The sequence below is a fragment of the Homo sapiens genome, chromosome 2 (assembly GCF_000001405.40).
Source record: "Homo sapiens chromosome 2, GRCh38.p14 Primary Assembly".
Classification (NCBI taxonomy): Eukaryota; Metazoa; Chordata; class Mammalia; order Primates; family Hominidae; genus Homo; species Homo sapiens.
The window spans coordinates 13,885,030-13,909,998 of NC_000002.12; the positions used below are offsets into that span (position 1 = coordinate 13,885,030).

The 24,969-nt window shown below is 34.7% G+C and overlaps 1 long non-coding RNA gene across 1 annotated transcript in view; it reads left to right on the plus strand.

The window, feature by feature from the left end:
- The window catches only part of LOC107985854 (uncharacterized), a 71,840-nt gene extending 47,168 nt beyond the window's left edge, over positions 1 to 24,672 (plus strand). The window contains exons 2-3 of the long non-coding RNA XR_001739296.1: positions 7,238 to 7,318; positions 23,207 to 24,672. This is a non-coding gene — a long non-coding RNA (uncharacterized LOC107985854). The remainder of the gene's footprint in view (positions 1 to 7,237; positions 7,319 to 23,206) is intronic.
- Positions 24,673 to 24,969: the final 297 nt, after the last annotated feature.

Consider the following 24,969-nt stretch of genomic DNA (forward strand, 5'->3'; position numbering starts at 1 on the left):
TATGTGGATTTTCAGACAGACAATTAAAAATAGCTCTTTTAATCATGCTCAACAAAATCCAAGACAATACAGAGAAGGAATCCAGAATCCTATCAGATAAATTTAACAAAAAGATTGAAATAATTAAAAAGAATCAAACTGAAGAATGCATCAGAGTCTCTTAACAGCAGAATTTATCAAGCAGAAAAAAAATAAGTGAGTTTAACAGCAGACTATTTGAAAATAGACAGAGAAGTCAAAAGAATAAAGAAGAACAGAACACAAAAAAGGATCCAGAAAGTAACCTCAAAAATGTAACTCTAGAAGATATCGGCCTTAAAGAGGAGTTAGAGAAATCAAGGTAGAAAGTTTATTTGAAGCGATAATAACGGAGAATTTTCCAACCCCACAGAATGATATCAGTATTCAAGTATAAGAAAGGTATAGAACACCAAGAAGATTTAACACAAACAAAACTACCTCAAGACCTATAATAATCAAACTCCCAATGGCCAAGGATAAAAAAATGGATACTAAAAGCAGCAAGATAAAAGAACCAAATAACATATAAAGGAGCTCCAAAATGTCTGGCAGCAAAGTTCCAGTGGAAATATTACAGGCAGGAGAGGGTGGCATGATATATTTAAGTGCTGAAGGAAAAAACTTTTATCTTAGAATAATATATCTAGTGAAATTATCCTTCAAACACTAAGGAGAAATGACTTTTCCAGACCCTAGTCCACCCTCACCCCCCAAAAGCTAAGAGATTTCGTCAATACCAGACCTGTCCTACAAAAAAATGCTAAAGGGAGTTCTTCATTCTGAAAGAAAAGGATGTTAATGAGCAATAAGAAATCATCAGAAAATATAAAATTCATTGGTAACAATAAGTACACAGAAAAATAAACAAAATTCTAATACTGTCATAGCTGTATGTAAACTACTAATATATAGTATATGTATTATATATATATATACTAATAACTTCTTCAGTAGGAAGACTGAAAGATGAACTTATCAAAATAATAGCTACAACAATGTTTTATGACATAGGCAGTATAATAGGAAGTATATAGAAACAACAAAATAGCAAAAAGTGAAGAGAACGAAGTTAAAGTGTAGAGTTTGTAATAGCTTTTTCTTTGCTTTTTAGATTGTTTTTGCAATAAGAATTAAGTTGTAATGGATTTTTATAAGATGTTATTTCAAAGCCCCATGGTAATCTTAGCAAAAGTACAAAAGATACATAAGAAGTAACAATCAAGTAATTAATATCTACCACCATAGAAAATCATCTTCTCTAAAAGAAAGACAGGAAGGAAGGCAGGAAGAGAAGACCATGAAACAACTAGAAAACAATAACAAAATGGCAGGAGTAGGTTATTACTTAGCAATAATGATATTGAATGTAAATGGACTAAACTTTCCAATCAAAAGACATAGAGTGGCTGAATAGATTTTAAAAAACAAAACCCAATGATCTGTTTCCTATAATAAACACAATTCACTTATAAAGATACACACACTGAAAATAAAGGCTTGGAAAAAGATATTCCACACAAATGGAAGCCAAAAAGGAGATGGAGGAGCTATACTTGTTCCAGGAAAAAATAGATTTCAACATAAAAACTAGAAAAAGAGACAAATAAAGTCATTATATGATGATAAAGCTATCAATTCAGCAAGAGAATGTAACAATGTTATAGAACATGTCATCCAACAGCTTTCCCCTTAGAACAGGAATTATTCTCAAAGATAGGTCATATGTCAGGCCACAGAATAAGTCCTAAAAATTTCAAAAAAGTGGAAATTATATCATGTATCTTCTCTGACCACAATGAAAGAAAACTAGAAATCTATCACAAGATGAATTTTGGACACCATACAAATACATGGAAATTTAAAAATATGCTCCAAAATGACCAGTTGGTCAATGAAAAAATTAAGAGGAAAATTTAAAAATTTAGGGAAACAAATGAAAAGGGATGCACAGCATACCAAAACTTACAGAATACAGCAAAAATAGTAATAAGAGAAATGTCTACAGCAGTAGTGCCCATAGCAAAAAAGTACAAAAAGTTCAAATAAACCACCTAATGATATATCTTAAAGAGCTAGAAAAGCAAGTGCAAACTAAACACAATATTAGTAGGAAAAAAGAAACAATAATGATCAAAATTGAAATAAAAATACAAAATATTAACTAAATTAAAAGTTTTTTTGGAAAGATAAACAAAATTGACAAACCTTTAGCCAGGCTAACTAAGGAATAAAATAGAGGAAACCCAAATAAATAAAATCAAAAATGGTAAAGGGGAGATTACAATTGATTTCACAGAAATTCAAAGGATCATTAGAGTCTACTATGAGCAACTATATGCCAATAAATTGGAAAACCTACAAAAAATGGATAAATTTGTAGACATATACAACCTGCCAAGATTAAACCATTAAGGAATCCAAAACTTGAATAGACTAATAACAACTAATGAGAGCAAAGCTGTAATAAAAAGTCTCCCAGCAAAGAAAAGCCTGGGACCCAAAAGCTTCACTGCTGAATTTTACCAACCAATTACCAATTAGTTTTATTTAAAAAGAACGAATACCAATCTGTCTCAAACTATTTGAAAAAAATAGAGGAAGGAATAATTCCAAACTCATTTAAGAAGGTAGTATTACTGTGATACCAAAACCAGATGAAGACACGTCAAAAAAAGAAAACTACAGGCCAATATTTCCAATGAACTCTGATGTGAAAATGCTTAACACAGTACTAGCAAACCAAATTCAACAATACATTAAAAAGTTCATTTATCATAAAAAAGTGGAATTCATCCCTGGGATGCAAGTATGTTTCAACATAGGCAAATTAATCAATGTGATACATCACATCAACAGAATGAAGGTCAAAAACCATACAGTCATTTCAATTGATGCTGAAAAAACATTTGATAAAATTCAACATCATTTCATGATTTAAAAAATGGGTATAGAAGCAACATACCTCAATACAATAAAAGCCATATATGACAGTCTCACAGCTAGTATCACACTGAGCAGGGAAAAACTGAAAGACTTTCCTCTAAGATCTGGAATCAGACAGGATGCCCACTTTCATCACTGTTATTTAACATAGCCCTGGAAGTCCTAGCTACAGCATCAAATGATAGGAAGATATAAAAGCTATTCAAATTAAAAATGAATAAGTTAAATTATCCTTGTTTGCAGATGATATGATCTTATATTTGGAAAAACCTGAAGACTCCACAAGAAAACTATTCAAACTGATAAATTCAGTAAAGTTGCAGGATACAAAATCAACATAAACAATCAGTTGTATTTCTGTATGCCAACAGTGAACAATGTAAAAAAGAAATCAAGAAAGTAACCCCATTTACCATAGCTACAAATAAAATAAAATACCAATAAATTAACTTAATGAAAGAAGTGAAAGATCTTCACAATGATGCAAGAAATTGAAGAGGACACAAAAAATAGAAAGATATTCCATGTTCATGGATAGTAAGAATCAATATCAAAATGTTCTTACTAGCCAAAGCAATCTACAAGTTCAATGCAATTCCTATGAAAATATCAATGACATTCTTCACAGAAAAGAAAATAAATATTCTACAACTTATACCTAACCCCAAAAGACCTAGAATAGTCAAATCTATCCTGAGCAAAATGAACAAAATAAATCACATTTGGAGGAATCACATTACCTTATTTCGATTTATTCTGCAGAACTACAGTAACAAAAACAGCATGGTATTTGCATAAAAGACACATAGATCAATGTAACAGAATAAAGAACCTAAAAATAAATTCATACATCTACAATGAATTCAGTTTCAGCAAAGGTACCAAGAACACACACTGGGGGTAAGGACAGTTTCTTCAATACCTGGTGTTGTGAAAACTAGATATCCATATGCAGAAGGATGAAACTAGACCCTTATCTCTTGCTATATACAAAAATCAAATCAAAGTGGATTAAATATTTAAATCTAAGACCTCAAACTATGGAACTACTAAAAGAAAACTTTGGGGAAACTCTGTAGATCATTGTCTGACTCTAGATTTCTTTAGTAACACCCCAAAAGCTTAGGCTACTGAAGCAAAAATGGATAAATTGAATCACATCAAGTTATTAATAAAAGTTTCTGCACAGCAAAGGAAACAATCAACAAAGTGAAGAGACAACACACAGAATAGAATACAATATTTGCAAACTCTCCACCTGGCAAGGATTAATAACCAGAATATATAGGGAGCTCAAACAGTATGAAAAAATCCAATAATCTGATTAAAAAGTGGGCAAAAGATCTGAATAGACATTTCTCAAAACATACAAACAGCAAACAGGTATATGAAAAAGTGCTCAACATCATTGATCATCAGAGAGATGCTAATTAAAACTACAATGAGATATAATCTCACCCCAATTAAAATGGTTTTTCTCCAAAAGACAGGCAATAACCAATGCTGGTGAAGAAGTGGAGAAAGGGGAACTTTCATACATTCTTGATGGGAATATAAATTAGTACAACCCCTAGGGAGAATGGTGTGGAATTTCCTCAAAAACTAAAAGTAGAATTTCCATATAAACCACCAATCTCACTGCTAGATAAATAACCAAAAGAAAGGAAATCAGTATATTGAAGAAATACCCTCACTTCCATGTTTATTACCCAATATCTGAAATCAACCTAGGTTTCCATTATCAGACAAATAGATAAAATAAATGTGGAATATATACACAATAGAGTTTATTCAGTCATAAAAAGAAGGAGATCCTGTTCTTTGCAACAACGTTGATAAAATTGGAGGATATTATATACCTTAAGTGAAATAAGCCTGGCACAGAAAGACAGACTTCACATGCTCTCACTTGTTTGAGCTAAAAATTAAAATAACTGAACTCATGGACACAGAGAGTATAATGATCGTTGCCAGAGGCTGGGAAGGGTAGTTGGATGGTGGAGGGGAGGGACATGGTTTTAGTGGGTACAAATGTATAGTTAGATACAATGACTAAGATCCAGTATTTTATAGCACATCAACGTGACTGTGGTCAGCAACAATTTGTTGTACAATTTCAAGTCAATGAGCCAGTAAAATTGAAATGTTCGTAACATGGAGAAGTGATGAATGCTTGAGGTGATGGATACCCCATTTACCTTGATACTATTATCACACGTTGTACGCCTGTATCAAAATATGTTTGTATCCAATCAATATACACCTACTATCTACCCATCAAAATTAAAAATTAAAAAAATCAGTAGGTGATGTAGCAGAATATGGCCACTACATTCCAAGTCCCTCTGAAAAACAAACCAACAAACTACTAATAAAATTAGCCTCCATTACTCATATCCCCCTGCAGTTAAAGTGTTAGGAATCTACACACTCACACATACACATTTACACATTTTTGAAAGAGTCGCTTACACTTTGTTTCTATATCTTCACCTCTCATTTTATATTCATCCACCTTGAAGCATGTTCCATCACTATTGCTGTGTTGAAACTTATCAAAGACATATCAAGGCCTGCATGTTATTACATTCTGTAGTCACTTCTCAGGAACATTCTGTGCATGTACATCTCTTTTCTGTAATGATTTTTCTCAGATTCCATGATATCACAATTTCTTGGTTTTAGTTCTATCTTCTCAGTCCCCTTTGTTCTAGATCCATCTTCTGTTCAACATCTAAATATTGTAGGGCCCTACAATTCTCTATTTGGCTCTATATTATCTCCTTTTTCTAAACTGCTCTTTGCATATCCACATAGTTTCGCACACCATTGACATCTGCTTTCCTATCTATATATGTGATATATCCACTCTTTAAACTTGTGTATTTGACTATTTGACATTTCTTTTTGGATGTGTCATACCCATTTCAAACTTAACAAAAGCAGAACTTTTGTGTGTGTGTTGTGGAGGCATCTAACTCCACCCCAAATTATTATTTTTCTTTATTCTTCAAGTTACCGTATATATTATTTTGCCAAATAATGTTTCTGAACAATGATTCCACCACTTATGCACTCCTCCCCAGTAAAAGAAGATAAATCTTATATTTGGTGAATTATAAATCTAATCAATTTCTCTCTTGCATTCTCTCTCTTTCTCTCTCTGTCTTTCCCTCCCTCCCTTGTTATTTTTGATTATCACAATGTCAGCATATAGATGTTTTTTCTTTTTCACTCTGAAACATGGCAAATGGCCTGCTCCAATGGAACTACTCTACAGTTAAATTTTATAGCCCTTATCCAATTAATGTATTTAATTCATGGTGGTGTTAACAAATCAGTTGTGATCCAAGCTCTATTCTGTAATTCAGCTTATCAGTAATAATGCTTTCCGCCTGTCTGACACCTGTTTATTTATCAGTTTGTCTTGAACTTTTAGGACATTGAGGAGCTCTGATTAATTATCACCCTCAAAAATCAACATTTTTTCATCTCAGTAAATGACGTCTATATTTACTTAGTTGCCTAAGCCAAAAACCAAGGAGTCTTTTAAAAATTATTATTACCTCTCTCTCTCTCTCTCTTTTTTTTTTTTTTTTTTTTTTTTGCGACAGGGTCTCCCTCTGTCACCCAGGCTGGAGGGCGGTGCATGACCTCGACTCACTGCAACCTCTGCTTCCCGGGTTCAAGAGATTCTCCTGCCTTAGCCTCCTGAGTAGCTGGGACTACAGGTGCACACCACCATGCTCAGCTAATTTTTGCATTTTTTTGGTAGAGACGGGGTTTTACTGTGTTGGCCAGGCTCGTCTCAAACTCCTGGCATCAAGTGATCTGCCAACCTCAGTCTCCCAAAGTATTATTATTATTTTTAATTGATGTGAAATAATTGTACTTATTTATGGGGTACAGTGTGATATTTAGATACACGTATACAATGTGTCATTATCAAATCAGGGTAACTAGAATATATATAACCTCAAACATTTACCATTTATTTGTGATGGGAGCATTCAAAAACTGCTCTTCTAGCTATTTGAAAACATACAGTAAGTTGTTTTTAACTATAGTCACTATACAGTGCTCTAGGACACTAGAATTTAATCCTCCTGTCTAGTTATACTATGGTACCTGTTAACCAACCTCTTCCTATCCTCCCTCCATCCTACCCTTCCTAGCCTCTAGTAACCACTCTTCTACCCTCTTTGTGTATTCTGCATATTAATTAGTCCTTTGTCAGATGAATAGTTTGCAAATATTTTCTCCCATTCTACAGGTTGTCTCTTCACTCTGCTGATTGTGTATTTTGCTGTTCAGAAGCTTTTCAGTTTGATACAGCCTCACTCGCTCATTCAGGGTAAGGATGCCTTCATAAAATGAGTTTCGTTCACTTCAGTTTTTTGAATAATTTGATAAGAATTGGTATTAGTACTTTTTAAAAAGTTGGTAGAATTCATCAGTGAATCCATCTAGTCCTGGACATTTTTTTGGTTTCTTTTTTACTGATGGGAAACTTTACTCCTGTTACACATTATTGATCTGTTAGCCTTTCAGTTTTTCTTCGTTCAGTCTTGGTAGGTTGTATGTGTCCAGGAATTTATTAATTCCCTTCAAGTTTTCTAATTTGTTGGTATATAGTTTTTCACAATAGATACTAATGATCCTTTTTATTCCTGTGGTATCAGTTTTAATGTCTCCTGTTCATTGCTGATTTTATTTATTTGGGGCTTTTATTTTATATCATTTTTTGTTAGTCTAGCCAATAGTTAATCAAGTTTATCTTTTCAAAGAACCAACTTTCTGTTTCATTGCTCTTCTGTGATATTGTTTTAGTAGAAAATTAGAGGAAGGCAATAAATAACTAAACATCTGCTTTGATGTTTCTTAGTTATTGCCTTCTATTTTTTTTTTGCCTTTCTTCTTTTTTGAAGCGTATCACTAGATTATTATTTCAAGTATTTCTATGTTTTGATGTATGTGTTTATTGTTATGAACTCTCTTATTACTTATTTTGCTGTATCCCATAGGTTTCAGTATGTTGTGTTTCTATTTCCTTTTGTTTCAATAACTATTTTTAATTAAAAAAAATTTTTTTTTGCTCATTGGTCATTCAGGATTACATTGTTTAATTGTTATGTATTTGTACAGTTTCCAAAGTTTCTGTTGTTATTTATTTATAGTTTTATGTGGTCAGAAAAAAATTTGATAAAATTTTGAATTTTTAAATTTATTGAGACTCGTTTTATGGCTTAACGTGGTTAATCCTGGAGAATGTTTCATGTGCTTATGATAAAAAATTGTATATTATTGCAGCTTTTGGATAAAATATTCTGTGAAAGTCTGTTAGATCTATTTGGTCAGTGCAGTTTGAATCCAATATTATTTGTTGATTTTCTGTCTAAATGATTTCTACACTACTAAGAGTGGATTATTGAAGTCATCAACCACTATTATACTAGACTCTATCTCTCCCTTTAGATCTAATAATATTTGCTTTATATATCTGGGTGCTTCTGTTTTGGGTGCATGTTTATTTACAATTTTAAATTTTCTTACTGAACTAATGGTTTCATTATTATATAGTGACCTTCTGTGTCTTTTCCTATAGTTATTGACTCAAACTCTGTTTTATATAAGTATAGCTAGCTGATTTATGCTCACTTTTGGTTTCTGTTTGCATAGAATATATTTTTTTATCAATTCACTTTTAGTCCTATTTGTTTCTTTACAGGTGAAGTAAATTACTTGTAGCAGCATTTAGTGTTTTCTTTTTTTTCTTTTTTTGGGGATTTCACATTCAAGGTTATTATTGATAGATGAAAAATCACTCCTGTCATTTTGCTGTTTTCTTCTTATCTTGCTTTTTCTTTCTTTTTTTTTATCTTTGCGGTTAGTTGCATTTCTTTAGTGATAAAGATTGATTCTTTTCTCATTTGTGTATCTGCTCTACCAGTGAGTTTTATATTTTTGTGTAATTTTATGATGGTAGTTATTATCTTTCTACTTCCAGATATAGGACTGCCTTAAGCATTTATTGTAAGGCCAGTGTAGTGGTGATGAATTTGCTCAGTTTTTACTTATCTTGGGAAGGCTTTATTTCTCTTTCAGTTTTGAAGAATAGCTTTCCTGAGTATAGTGTTCATGGCTAGCAGATTTTTCTTTTAGCATTTTAAATATACCTTTCCATTCCCTCCTGGACTGTAAGATTTCTGATGAGAAATCTGTGGTTAGAAATCTGCATTTTTCATCTCTTCTCCTTCAGAAACATCTATAATGCAAAAATTTGTTTGTTTGTTTCCCATAAGTCCAGAAGAATTTATTTTTCCTTTTTTATTCTTTATTCTTTTTTTTTTTTTTTTTTGGCTACCTCGATCATTTCAAGAACCTACCTTCAAGTTCAGAAATTATTCTGCTTTCTCTAGTCTGCTACTGAGGCTCTCAACTGTAGTTTTTATTTCACTTCATTCTCCATTCTAAGATCTCTCTTTGGTTATTTTTTATATCACTTATCTCTGTTGAATTTTTCACTTATCAGGAATTGTTTTCTTGATTTTATTGAATTGTCTTTTTATTTTCTTAAATTGTGTTGAGTTTCCTTAAGTTGTTGTCTTTCTTCTCTGGCATTTCATATATTTCTTTTCTTTGTGGTTTGTTACTGAAGAATTATTGCGTTCTGTTGGAAGTGTCATGTTTTCTTCCTTTGCCACGTTTTTTTCTGTTGCTACATTTACCCCTGCACATGTGTTAAAACTGGAAGAAGCAATTTTTCTACCACATGTGCAGGGGGCAAATGTAGAAACACAAGAGCAGCTTTCCTAAAAAGAGAGGCTTATTACCATAAATGGGTCCCATGGTGTTGGTTGAGTGGAGTGCATTTGCTTTGGTTCTGGGTGGACCCAGTAATTTAATTTTTGTGCTGATTCATCAGACATACTCCAAATTAGAGATAGGTATGAGTGCCTTGGTGGCCTAAGCTGTGGGAGTTTTTGGCAATGGTGGTGTGACATTTCTGGGAACTGGTCCACCAAGCTGTTTCCTCAGCTAATTGTATATGTATATGGTGGTTGGAGGGTGGATACACTGAGGATATAATTTCCAAGTTGGTTCTCTAGCCGGATACATGGGCATGCAGTAGTTCACCTCACCCAGAGTTGGCTTCTCCACTGTGTAGAAATGTATAGGAGTACCTATAGGTATACTCCTATACACTCCACTGTGTAGGAGTGTATAGGAGTACCTATACCAGGGTCATGGCTGTTCTTGGGCCTAGGCTCTGAGAAGCCAGGGTTGTGGTATTATAGCTGCCCCTGTGAGAGTGGTGGTATAGCAGCAAATCCTCAAGGCTGAAGAGGCACAGCGGCTCCTGGCTTTCAGAGAAGGGTACACGCCAGCAGTGGCTGCAGCTTTAAGATAGCACCATGCTGCAGCAGCTTGAGCCGTGGACATTGGAGAGTGTCCATTATGTGCTACTACTCTGTAGTGGCACAGCAACGTAAATTCCAGGCGGCTCCCAAACTCAGCTCATAACTTGTGAGGATGGTGGGATTTTCTTGGGGTAAGGACTGCAAATATCTGTGGTAATAATGGAGGCTGTTGGAGGCCTTCGGATTACCTATTCCCTGCAAAAAGAAGTGTCTCCCAGCTCTGAGCCAGTCTCAGCAGCGAAGATGGGGTGCAGCGAAAACATGAAGAGGCAGATGCCCGGGATGTACTGGGCATCCATGTTTTATAGGAATCTTGCTACTCCTTTGTTGCACTCCAGTGCTCTTCCTCAAACAATCTGGTAAAGTTTTAGTTTATTTTTGTTTTGTCCTTTTCTGTGAAGGGTGGGGCAAGCACCCAGCACCTGTAGTCAGACATCTTGCTGATGTCACTGTTATTTTTCTTTACTTTCCTACAGTCATGTATCTTACTTCTCTTTCCATGTTTGTTTATTGTCACTGCCACTACTTCTATTATACTAAGGCCATCATTATATACCACTTGGAACACTCCAATATTCTTCTAATTGGAATTCTCCTACAACTTGTCCTTTTTCATGTGTAAATTATATCACATAAATTACCTCTCTCCAATCCGTAGTTTCCCATTAGACTCTCCCCTCAAATCATAAGCACTCAAATGAATAAACACCCACAATAACAAATACCTCCTTACCGTGTCCTATAGTTTCCCACAGAATCTGGTTTCTATCTTTCTTTCACATCTAATTTCTTGCCACTCTTTTCTTACTTAATAAGATATAGCCACACTTCACTTTCTCCAGATTTTTCAGATGTAACAACCTTGTTAGCACTTCTTTTTCCCACTTCTTTCAAACCTTCTCATAGTTATTACTTCTTGCACTCCAGGTCTCAGATTGAATAACAAACTTTGAGAAAAAACTTCTTATGCTTCTCCTGCTAAATACAGTAGTCATCACCACCATCTGCCATATTACTGTTTATCATATTTTCTGTTATGTTTATTTAGGATATTAATAAATATCTAAAAGGACATTGTTAATTTATTTGTGCACTTGCTTATTTTGTTTCATCAAAAATATAAGCTTCAGTATAGGTGCCACATATGTCTTGTTCAACCAAATATTCTTAAAACCTGAAAAAATAGTAGGTACTCCAAATAAATTGGTACTGCAGACAGTGTAGTACTGCTATAAAGCTACTTGAAAATGTGGGAGCAGCTTTGGAACTGGGTAACTGGCAGAGGTTGGAATAGTTTGAAAAGCTCAGAGGAAGACAGGAAGATGTGGGAAAATTTGGAGCTTCCTAGACACTTGTTGGATGTTTTTGAACAAAATGCTGATAGCCATGTGAATAATGATGTCCAGGCGGAGATGGTCCCAGATGGAGATGAGGAACTAATTGCGAACTGGAGTAAATGTCACTCATGCTGTGCTTTAGCAAAGAGACTGGTGGCTTTTTGCCCCTGCACTAGAGATCTGTGGAACTTTGAACATGAGAGAGATTATTAAGGGTATCTGGCAGAAGAAATTTCTAAGCAGCAAAGCATTCAAGAGGTGACAGAAAATAAAAGTTTGGAAAATTTCCAGCCTGACCATACGATAAAAAAGAAAAACCCGGCCGGACTCAGTGGATCATGCCTGTAATTCCAGCACTTTGGGAAGCCGAGGAGGGCAGATCACAGGGTCAGGAGTTCAAGACCAGCCTGGCAAAGACGGTGAAACCCTATCTCCACTAAAAATACAAACATTAGCGAAGCGTGGTGGCAGGCACCTGTAATCCCAGCTACTTGGGAGGCTGAGGCAGGAAATTGCTTGAACCTAGGAGGTGGAGGTTGCAATGAGCTGAGATCATGCCACTGCACTCCAGCCTGGGCAACAGAGTGAGACTCCAACTCAAAAAAAAAGAAAAACCCATTTTCTGGAGAGAAATTCAAGCCAGCTGAATAAATTTGCATAAGTAACTAGGAGCCAAAGGTTAATCACCAAGACAATGGGGAAAATATCCCCAGGGCATGTCAGAGAAATTCAAGGCAGCCCCTCCCATCACAATTCCAGAAGCCTAGGAGGGAAAATGGTTTTATGGACTGGAGGTCCAGGGCCTCCCTGCTGTGTGCAGCCTTGGGACTTGGTGCCCTGTATCCCAGCTGCTCCAGCTATACCAAAAGGGACCAAGTACAGCTCAGGCCGTTGCTTCAGAGGGTGCAAGATCTAAGCTTTGGCAACTTACATGTGGTATTGGGCCTGTGGGTGCACAGAACTCAAGAATTAAGGTTTGGAACCTCCACCTAGATTTCAGAGGATGTATGGAAACATCTTGGATGTCCAGGCAGAATTCTGCTGCAGGGGTGGGGCCTTCATGGAGTACCTCTGCTAGGGCAGTGTGGAAAGGAAATGTAGGATTGGAGCCCCTACACAGAGTCCCCACTGAGGCCCTGCCCAGTGGAGCTGTGAGAAGAGGGCCACCCTCCTGCAGATGCCAGAATGGCAGATCCACCAACAGCTTGCACCATGCACCTGGAAAAGTCACAGACACTCAATGCTAGCCTGTGAAAACAGCTGGGAGGAAGCTGTACCCTGAAAAGCCACATGGGCAAAGCTGCCCAAGACTATAGGAGCTCACCTCTTGCATCAGTGTGACATGGATGTGAGACCTGGAGTCAAAGGAAATCATTTTGGAGCTTTAAGATTTGACTGCCCTGCTGGATTTCAGGCCTGTGTGGGTCTGTATCCCCTTTGTTTTGGCCAATTTCTCCCACTTGGCTGTATTTACCCAATGCCTATACCCCCATTGTATCTAGGAAGTAACTAACTTGCTTTTGATTTTACAGGCTCATAGGCAGAAGCGACTTGCACTGTCTCAAATGAGTCTTTGCACTGTGGACTTTTGAGCTAATGCTGAAATGAGTTAAGACTTTGGAGGACTGTTGGGATATCATGATTGGTTTTGAAATGTAAAAAGATAAGATTTGGGAGGGGCCGGGGTGGAATGATATGGTTTGGCTCTGTGTCCCACTGAAATCTCATCTCTAATTGTAATTTCCACATGTTGAGGGAGAACCTTTAATCCCTACGTGTTGAAGGAGAAAGGTGATTGTATCATAGGGATAGTTTACTCAGTGCTGTTCTCTTGATAGTGAGTGAGTTCTTATGATATCTGATGGTTTTTATAAATGTTTGAAAGTTCCTCCTTCCCACGCTGACACTCTCTCCTGCTGCCTTGTGAAGAAGGTGACTGCTTCCCCTTCCACCATGACTGTAAGTTTCCTGAGGCCTCTCCAGCCATGGGAAACTGAGTCAATTAAACCTCTTCCCTTTATAAACTATCCAGTCTTGGGCAGTTCTTTATAGCAGCTTGAGAACAGACTAATACAGTACTATAACTACTTATGGACAACACTAAGAATATCTTACTTTGTTATTTAGTGTAGATATATAATTAACTTCAATACATTACTATTAATGTCATAATAAATCCTGGCTCTCCTTCTTTAATTTTTTTATTCCTTCTCTCCTTTCTTCTAAATATTAATTAATGTCCTTAAAGTCTAAGATATTCATGAACAAAGCACACACAAAGATAAATCATACACTATTACTGCCAAAACTACATTCTATCGGAAACCTGTTAGCCAATTAGTGGAAGTAAGCATTGTTTGTGACATGATAAATGTTCAAAGGACGTGAAGAGCATCACAATGTTGAAGCATCAGGGAAACACACTCTGACCATTCTCCATGAAGAAACAAACTATGCTGTTTTAAACTATGAGGACTCAAGGAGCTGAGAGCAGTCTATGACTGAGAGCTGGCATTAAAAATAAAAAAGAATAACAACAACAACAAAACCCACCTTAGTCCTACAAAAACAGGCACAAGGAACTGAATGCAGCCAACAACCACAATGAACTTTAATGAGGACTTCAAGTTCCAAATGAGAACCACAGCCGTGACTATCACCTGGATTTCAACTTTAGGAGATCTGCACTGAGAACCCAGTCAAACGATGCCTGGAATCCTGACCAACAGAAACTGTGAGATAATAAATTACTCTTTTATACCAATAAGTTGATGGTAATTTATTAAGTAGCAATAGAAAACTAATTCAAGTCAGCTGACTTTTCTCAGTTTTCTTTAAATCTCCTCATCAATATTATTTCAGTTTACACTCTTTAATTACTGCTAGTTACCATATTCTGAGCACATATTCGTGTCTACCCTGCCCAAATAAATTTTATATATAATTTTAGATACTTAGAAGTAAATTAGTCTGTACCATACTAAGGCTAAAATAATCATATTTTAAAGCTATAATTTCAGCTGACAAATCTCAGACATTTGCTTATTCCAAACTTTCCCTCAGATATTTTTAAGAATATTCAGGTCCCTCAATATCCACTGGTACAACTTCCCCATCGGGCCATTTTATTATGCTTTAGCTGGTGGTATCTATTTGTGATTGTTCCACAGTTGATCATAATTTTTTCTACTATTTATCACCACTGCCAACACACTCTGGTGTCTCATTCAAATGTTTCCTTTGCCACTCAATCCAAATTTTAGAGCTGATTAATCCATAATAACTTTTATTATAACTTAGGCCAAGTTAATATATGTTAAAAGTATTCTGATGAATTTCAGAAAATGGATGCAAAAAAAAAACAACAACAACAGAGACTAGCATACAAATGTTCTTCAGAAGCAATATATAATTATTTTAAAAAGCCAGCTCCTAAATTCCTTATCTCTAACATAACTTATCTGGTTATACTTTTCCAAATTATCATGTGTAATTCTTTCTTCAGTAATTTTGCATTTGTTAGTAGTATTTTGGTTACAAATACCATAAATCGAATTTAAAACAACTTAAATCAAAAAAGGAATCACACTAAGGTGTGTGAAGAAACCTAGGACTGAGAACACAGTTCTAGGAATAAATGGAAACGGAAATTTTTCTCTGTTCTCCTTATTTTTCTGCTTCATGCATCTGTTTTGTTCTTTATTCTCCATCTTAAAATGGACTTTCTACACTTCTCTATCTCTGGCAGTATGGAACATGACTGATAGAAACTTCTGAATTTCAGGCAATATAACCTTCAGGCAGTCCTAGAAAAACTAATCTCCTCCCTCAGTTTAAGTTCCAAAATTCCAAAGGAGGAATACCTATTGTGTCAGAATTATGTCTATGAACCATTCAACTAAGGCAATATTGTGCCATGAACATGAGTTATCATAATTTAACACGCTAACATTCACGGTAACCATGTAGATAGTGTGTGTGTGTGTGTGTGTGTGTGTCTGTGTGCGCTTGTGTGTGTGTGTGCCCTTGTAAAGGCAGATGAGAGTGAGGAGAAAGATTTCACCTCTCAGGAAAATGTGGAGCAGTTTTCAGGAATTCTATGACTAGTGGCAGATGCTGGCATATTGGGTACGCCAGATACCCATAACCAATTAATAACATACAGACTTTTAATTCAAAGTTAACGCCTTTTCCCATTAAGGGCTGAATCTGTGTATCTCCTGCAAATGCATCCACTGAAGCCATGGCCCCCAATGTGAGGGTTTTTTAAGGTAAGGCCTTAAGCTGCCCAGTTTGTGGTGTTTTGTCATAGCAGCCTGAGGAGACTAAGACATCCATTATAAGGAATGAACCAGGAAATAGTATGGCGTACCCTTCATTGGACACCATACCTCTCCAAGGACCTCAGTCCACGGTATTAACTCACTTCAGTTTGGTTGAAAACTAATTGTTCGGTACTTGCTATGTTTTGTATTGAAGTCTAAAATACAGAGCCAATTAAAAAACAGTTCTTATTGTGAGCATCCAGCCTAGAAATGAAAGCAGGCACATAATTGATATTCAATGCAGTGTACTAGGGAGGAATGCTCACACTTCAGTGAAGACACAGATAAATGAGCGATCGAATCTACGTGAGTAGGTCAGTAATGATCTCCTACCCCAGAATATTAGTTGACCCATGTTTACTGATGAAAAAAGCCAGATAAAACATAGCAGATATTGGACATTACAGGTAGAGAAAAAGCAATAGGCAAAGACATAAAAACATTAGCAAGCATGTGAATGTATGCATACATTCATGGCAATACTAATTTTTAAATATGGTTTAACTTTCCATCAAAGTAACACATAAGTTTAAAGAGTCATTTCATCCTGCAAAGCTAATACAATACTGCAGATCCTAACCATTGAACTCTGTACAGAATCAAATATATTTGACTGTTTGAACTCATTCTGTTAGTGTTACCTCCATCTTGATAAATGGCGTGCTTATATAACCACTTATTGATTTTTCAGTTTTAGCCCTTATCTATGAACTTTGTAGCATAGAAGATGATAACTGAACTTATGTTTTCTTACCTAATGTTATTCTCTGTCTCAGACAATTACACAGACAAACAGACACTCCAGTTCAACTTTCAAATGTAGTTATAACATATATTTAAAACTATATTGAATTCTTATTACTCTATTAGGTACATTGTATTTTGCTTACTATTTTTTCAAACTTTTAGTTTTCCCCTAGCACTTTTAGTAGCTGAATATATAATTATTCATTTAACCCTCATAACAATTATATGAGGTGGTATTGTTATATTTTTATGTGTACCTCATAGATGAAGAAAATAAGTCTTTATTAATTGTCCAAAATCACACAGCTAGAAAATGGTATAACGGTATTGGAACACAAGAATTCAGCTCCAGAATCCACTTGTGTGCTTAACCACAATTTTATGCTGATTCTTAGTTGTGATAGCTTTTGCTGATATTGTTTTTTTATTTTCTTAGCTTTAGCAGTCATCCTATATTTACTTTAAATTGAACTCCAATTATGTAAATCTCTCTCTACTCTTCCAATCCCATTACGTGTTCTATTAATTTTATCTTCCGACTAGAGCCTTCTCATTGTCTTTAGTCAAAACTGGCTGTTCTTGAATTTTTCCTGTCTGTTATACATTCTTAAATTAAAATAATTCTTTCTCGTTATTTTTTACTTAAACCCTTTGCTCTATGTAAACTGCATATTTTTAAATTGTGTTTTTTAATGGTAACTCATTATTTCAATGAGATTTTATTTTTTATTTTATTGTGGTTTGGGTGTGTTTTATGTCATTTTTTATTAGAACTTGATAATCTTTCGCTATTTCCTCATATGCAAGGCGGGATTTCTGAAAGTTAAATGGAAGTTCTGGTGTGTCTTTGTCTTCCCTCTGGTCTCTGCTAATAGGTGATCTCCTTAAAGTTTTACTCACCGAAACTCTGATGTTACTCTCATTCCAGTGTCTGTTTCTGGGGATCTCAAGCTCTTTGCACAGTATATTCACTTTTACTTAATCTTCAGTATTGAAATAGTACCCTCTCCCTAAACTTGGCAACTTTGAACAATTTTCTATGAAGCATAAACTTTCTGCCTTTGTCTCAGTGGGTGTCTTCATTTTTGTGCTGCTATAATAGAATACTGAACATTTGGGTAGTTTATAAAGAACAGATTTATTTCCTATAGTTTTGTTGGCTTCAAAAACCAATATTAAGGCACCGACAGGTTTGGTGTCTGGTAACGGCTTGTTCCAACTTCTGAGATGGTGCCTTGAGCACTGCATCCTTCAGCAGGGAGAACACAGTCCCTCACGTGCCAGACAGCAAAAGGACTGGAGAAGGTAAGAGAGGCAGAACTCACCCTTTTACACCAGCATCAATTATACTTAGTTTTATGAATCACTTTTTTTCAACACTAAGATGTAGGTTATGTGTGGAGTTTCTTTGTTTCCCTTTTTTAAAAAAAAATTATCAAATTGTTTCTATACCTCTTGCTGAAAGAATTCTTCCTCTATTCAATTGCTCTTATACATTTGGAAAATTCTTTGTCTTGTTTGTTTACCTATTTCTGGGTTCTCTATCACTATTCTTTGCTCTATATGTCTCTCATTTGTCCAATATCACTGTCTTGACTGTTTTAGCTTTGCAGTCATTTATTAAATCAGATAATGTGAGTCTCTAAAATCTTACTCCTAAGAATTATTTTGGCTATTCCACTACTGATGCTATTCCATGTACATTTTAAAATCAAAATTTTTATAACTAAAAAAAAGTGTTCTGTAATTTTGAATATGATTTCACAGAATCTATAGAATAAATGAGAAAAACTGACATACTATGTTGTCTTCCAATCCATGAACATGATATGTATCTCCATTTATTTAGATCTTCACTGATTTCTTTTATTAATGTTATGTTACTTTATGCCAAAAATGTTTAGACATATTTTGTTAGCATTATACAAATAAAGTATTCCATAGGTTTTAATGTCATTGTAAATGGTATATTATTTTTAATTATCTATTTTTATTTCTGGCATATAAGGATATAGCTGGATTTTGTATATTGACTTTATTTTCTGTGACCTTGCTAAACACACCTAAATTGTTTAGATACTTTTAGCTACCTTGTTTGTTTTACAGTATCCTCTTTCTCACGTCTGTATGATTTGTAATAATGTCACTTTTTCTTTTCTTATAGAAACTTTTTTCTTTTTCTTTTTTCTCTCTTTTTTCTTTTTTTCCTTTTTATCCATTAGTGTTGCTTGAGGGTTATACTTTTATTAATTTTTCAAATAATTAACTTTTGACTGTGTTGCTTCCTCAGTTAAATTTTGGTTTTCTATTTTATTGATTTCTACTATCATCTGATTTATTGTTTCTTTCTAGTCTTAACATTTGATTTATTGTTGGTTTTTTTTAGATTTTCGACATATAGTTAAGTAATTGATTTTTAGTCTGTATTATTCAAGGCTACAGATTTCCTGCTAAACACTTTCTTAGCTTCATGCCACAAATTTTAATTTGCTATATTAGTATCTAATTTGTTTATTTTGCTACTGAAAATCCAAGTAAGATATCAGGTGAAAAGCTAGGTTCATAAATTTATTGTGTACATGAGCTGTCTTAACTGAGATATAAATTTGAAAGTCACCAGCATAAAATATTAATTAAAGTCAATAGAATAAATATGATTTTAAAATAGTACGTGTAGACAGAAAAGAAATTTTTTCAAGCATTCATTCCTATAACAAATCAACATTAAAATGTCAAGGAGGTCAAATGAACCAGCAAAAATGTCTAAGAATGAACGGCCAATGAAGGAGAGAAATCAGAAGAGTGTAATGTATTGAGAGCTTAACTGTAATTGTTTAAAAATAAAGCCTTATTACTTTTCCCATTAAAAAGTAGATCCTATTTTTCATCTGCTTATGTTTGAATTGGATCTGTGACTTGGTTTGACTACTGAAATTGGCAGAATTCATAATTTCAGGCTTTTGAAGGTATGTTTTAAAAGATTTTTGAATGCATGTTGATGGTCTTCAAATGCTTACTTTAGGACCATTGCCTTGAGACTGCCAGTTTGTAAGAATACTCAAGCTATTTATAAAGAGAAACCATGCGGAGGAGACCTTATGCACCTCAGCTATAGTCCCAGCTATATGTTTGTGTGTATGTGTGTGTGTGTGTATGCATCACTTCCAATCTGCAACCTGGAAATATACATATGTGTTTTGCTCTCCTTGGAAAGCTGTGGTATCTTTTTTAAAAATTACAACATTCTCTTTGTTTCACACCCTTTTGTGAAATTGTTGTGAAATTATCTATATTTTTAAAAGATTGTTCTTTGCATTTTATCTAGTGTTTCTAGGTATTTGCAGCAGGGGTTTTCAAGTTATTTTGTCAATGATTTTGCCAGACATAGAAATTCTGTGTGTGAGAGATATTAGGAAAGTTAGTTTTTATTTTGAGCCACTGTTTCTCAATCTGTAATATTGAGATAGCAATATAAACCAAATAGAACTGTTGTGAAAATTAACAAGATGATGCATAAAGATTATTTCTTTAAATGTTAGTTTATTTATTTATGAAAAATTTTGTTCCCTACATTTATACTAAGTGACCAGTAACTACCAAATGTGAATTGTGTTATATAATTTGCAAATCAAGAAAGTTAATACACTTTAGTCATGCCTTTTTTCTCCAAAGTCCCAATAGATTTATCTTGTCACAATATGAATTTTGAAATACACATCAAGTGTATTTGGATAAGACTTGGTAAAATTTGTTATAATAACCTTCTTAAGTGATTATTCAGATCCAATGACACCTGAAGTCACTGAGGTAGAGGTCTCCATTGCCATAACTCCATGTCTAATATCTGTTGTGTAACTAACTGTCAATTTATAACATAAGAATGTGTGACACACAGTGAGCACCCTGAGTTTAATAAAGATGTGGGCACAGTACCACAGAATATTCATGAAATTTTATTTTAAATATGCTTTGAAAATATAGTGAAGATTACAAGTATAATGATAATGATATTTTTAAAATTCTGATTTTCTGTTACAGGTTTCCTACTACATTTACATAATTTAGAGTCAGATGATTTTTTTTTTGAGGCGCAAATTTTATCACTTACAGTCTGCAATCTGGAAATCAATAGTGTTCTCTTGGCACCTCCTAACATCATAAGCAATTAAACACTTGAAATATAAACTTAGCTTAAAATTGTGTTGACAAGTGAGTTGGCCACAGCTGTCTTAGAATCTGCAGCCAACAACAGTAAGAACATATTTTTGAGGAAAGTGATCAGATGTGACTAAAGTGCAAGACACATCAGAAACTAAATTATTCAGTTACTGAACAGAGAAGTAAAATTTAAGTAAGTATTTTTGTCCCTCGAATTCATCTTGAAGAATTACAAATGTGAGAGGAAAACATTACTGTGCATTCTCATACTCAAATTTCAAATGTCATCAAAAATAAAAGAAGCAACTCTGTCTCATAGTAAATGTTGAATAAACATGCATAAATTTATTTAATGAGCACAAACTAATGCTGTCTTTTACATAGGTAATCATTAATTTAAACAAATGTGAATTAATATTTATTTTACTTAATTTGTTTAAAAGTTAACAGTCACTCTGTGAGGCATTGACATTTCATTTTCCGTGTGCCTTATTTCATTTAGTCCTCATTACAAAACTATAAGTTATATAATGAGGCACAAAAGTTTAAGTAATACATCCAAATTCATATAATGAATAAATCATAGAATAAAGATTTCTTCCTGGGCAATATGGCACTTACTGTCTTCACTTACTGTCTCCATATGAAAAGGAGATACAAAGAGAATAATGCCCTAGAGAAGCAGATACATTGCTAAATGAAAATGATGACAATATTTCTAATCCTGAAGATTACTGTTTACATTGGGAAACTTGGTATATGTATTGTGATCATATGGTGTGTGTGTGTGTGTGTGTTCGTGTCTATGTGTTTGTGTTTTGCTCAAGCTGTTGCTCTCAGGTTATCGGATTTTGACAGGAGGGCCTTTCCGTACATATACTGAAAGACAGACTATAAAAAAAGTACTCTCCCTTATGCAGCATAACGTTAAACAAGTTTTGCTACTAAACATGGGGTAGTGCCTTAAATTGAAGACCAGCCACGGAAAGTGTACTGTCACATGTTGAAATTGTCTTAGTATCTGTGAGGCTGGCACATGCACCCTAAGACATGATAAGGTTTTTCCTAGCAACAAGACTTCAACTAGCAATCACTCTGTGAAGAAGTTCATAGTGAGGTAGGGCAAAAGAAGAAAAAGATTTATTTTTCTCTCCCTGTCAACTATACATCTATAAGGCTTAGACTCCTTCCTAGCAATATGGAGATGTCAGGAGTATGCCTGGAGGTAGGTCTTTTCAAATTGGTAACATCAAGAGACAGAGAAGGAGCTAGAGATTCTGTGATCTCCAGATCACAAATTACACAAACGGGCTTCAAGAGTGACCATTTCTAGGAGTATATGAAAGCATTTATTAGATTTGTATGCCTACATCATATTTTCATTCAAACTTTTGACTATTAGAGAATGCAGTTTTCCCCCTCTGAGTCATGCAGATGTGTTAGCAGTGGCCATTTCACAGGAAGTGTCTGCGGGATGCAGAACTGTGACCACACAAGGACAGTGGCGTTTAGAAGCAAAACAACATTTAAATATTAATCTATTATATTTTAATGGAAAAGTACAAATGTTTGCACTTACAGCTTTTTTAAGACTTATTGACAATGTATTAAATACAAAAAAAAAGAAACTGATGTTCAGAAAATGTAATGACAGTCTAAGAAAGCATACAGATTTAGTAGTGGTGGGCCCATTAAGAAGGCTCACAGTACTCTTATCCATAGCCATATATTTTTATCGAAATTACTGAAGTTTAGATCTCTGGTGTGTTTTGAACTTATAAATTAATAAATCTAACATTGGACCTTCCATCAATAAGAACAACAAATCTCTGTCAATTCTAAGTTTGAGCTTTACTTACTACTCAGTAGGAAAGAAGGGGAATATAACCACTGACTGTTTACATCAATATTTAAAAATGCTAAAGTGCTGTCTTTACTCTGCTTTTAAACATCTCTAGGAGTCAATTTTTTTTCTTTTCTATTTTCTTACAATGCATCATTCAAAGATCAATTTTGTGTGTTAATAAAAGCATTTTAGATGAAATAATTTCTACTGGGCTTTAAAATTATTTATTGAATTTCACTAGATTTTAACAAAGCACATTGTGAATGATTATATTAAAGCACTTACATTATTGTGTATTTTTTGACAACTTCACTGCTAGCATAACCAGCATTTGAGAAAACCAACACACTAAATAAATCTATTACGGTAATTTTTAATCTAAATACCCTTCCCTTCATTGTTTGGTAGGCCCCCGAGTAGAATGGGAGAGCTCCAGATGCAACTGACTAACTGAAGATGTCACAAAGGCTGAATCTTCTATGCTACACTTTGGATCACTAGAAGGACCAGAGTGTAGTCAACGATGTGTAAACAACTGAGAAAAACTTTTCTCTGGAAACAACTGTGATTTTGAAATTCAGTGGTTTCTTCTTTCTAGCTGAGAAACATTGAGCAAGTCACTGCAATAACATGGAATCCAGCTGCTTTATCTGGTGAATTAGGATAATTCATAGTGTACAACTAGGATTACAATTAATTTATCAGTTAATATTGCTGCAAAGAAAATCATTCTATAAGTTAATGGCTTAAAACAACGATTATTTAATACACTTTTTCTCTGTGGGTAAACCGTGTGGTTTCTCTAGTCTGGGTTAGTTAGTTTGGGCTTGGATGACTTAGAATGTTCTCAGTCACACATCTCTGGCCTCTGCTGGGGTGTCTGGGAAAGCTGAACTCCTTGTTTTCATGGGCTGTCACTCCGGGAGTTAGCTTAAGGTTATACTTATGATAGAAAAGTTCCCAGAAGCAAAAGCGAGTCAGCCTTAATGTGCAAGCACTTCTTAGCAACCTGCTTCCATTAGGGTTGCTAAAATCCCGTAGGCTGAAGTAAGTCATAGGACCAAGCAGAAATGAGGTGGGAAAATAAACTCATTTTCTTCACAGGAGCAGCCTCAAAAAGTTTGTGGTCACAAACTCTTCACTTTTTTTTTTTTTTTTTTTGCAGTTTCCAACAGGGTAGATTTGAGTATTAGTGAAAATGAATGCAAAGTGTTTGTCATGTAGTAAGAACTAAATACATTTTATAATTGTTAATGTGTTTTACCAGCCATACTTTTTATCATCCTATGATTTAACAAACATGCATTAAGAAAATGTGTGGGTAAGGCTGCTTCAATTATAATCACTTGAGTCCTTTAAGGTTCTGCTTATGTTATACAGGATATAGAAAGTCATCCCAACATACTGACTGTCTCAAATGTATTTTGTTTTGGATTTCCCAACTATATCACAGCCTGTTACGAACACTTAGTTACATAAGTACATTCCATCTTATGTCTTCATTTACTTATTTCATGACTTAAGTTTTATACCAACTCCTCCCTAGTTAGATTTTAATCCCGTTGAGTAAAAAGAGGGATTATATTTATCTGACATAATTAGGACTACCTAGTACAGCATTGGATCTGAATTTTAGATTCTAAACAAGAATATTAATATCAACTTCCCAACTCTATTATATATACCACTGCATTCAATATATACCAATCTAGTACAGTTAACATCGTAGGTAGCATTGTGACATGAGCCCTCAAATAGGTAGACAATCCTGGGATTGAGTACTGGGTCTATGAATAGCTTTGTGACCATGGACAATAGTAAGCTTCTCTGAGCTTGTTTTCTGTTATAGCAAGAAGAAAAATATATTTTATAATGATAATGTTAAAACAAAAATGTCTTGCTAATATGGATTGGATTTGTGTCCCTGCCCAAATCTCATGTTGAATTGTGATCCCCAGTTTTAGAGAGGTACCTGGTGGGAAGTGATTGGATCATGGAGGAGGATTTCCCCCTTGCTCTTCTCATGACAGTGAGTGAGTTCTCATGACATCTAGTTGTTTAAAAGTACATAGCACCTCCCCTTTTTCTCTCTTCCTCTATCTCCAGTCATGTAAGACATGCCTGCTATGCCCTCTCTCACCACTCCTATTCAACATAGTGTTGGAAGTTCT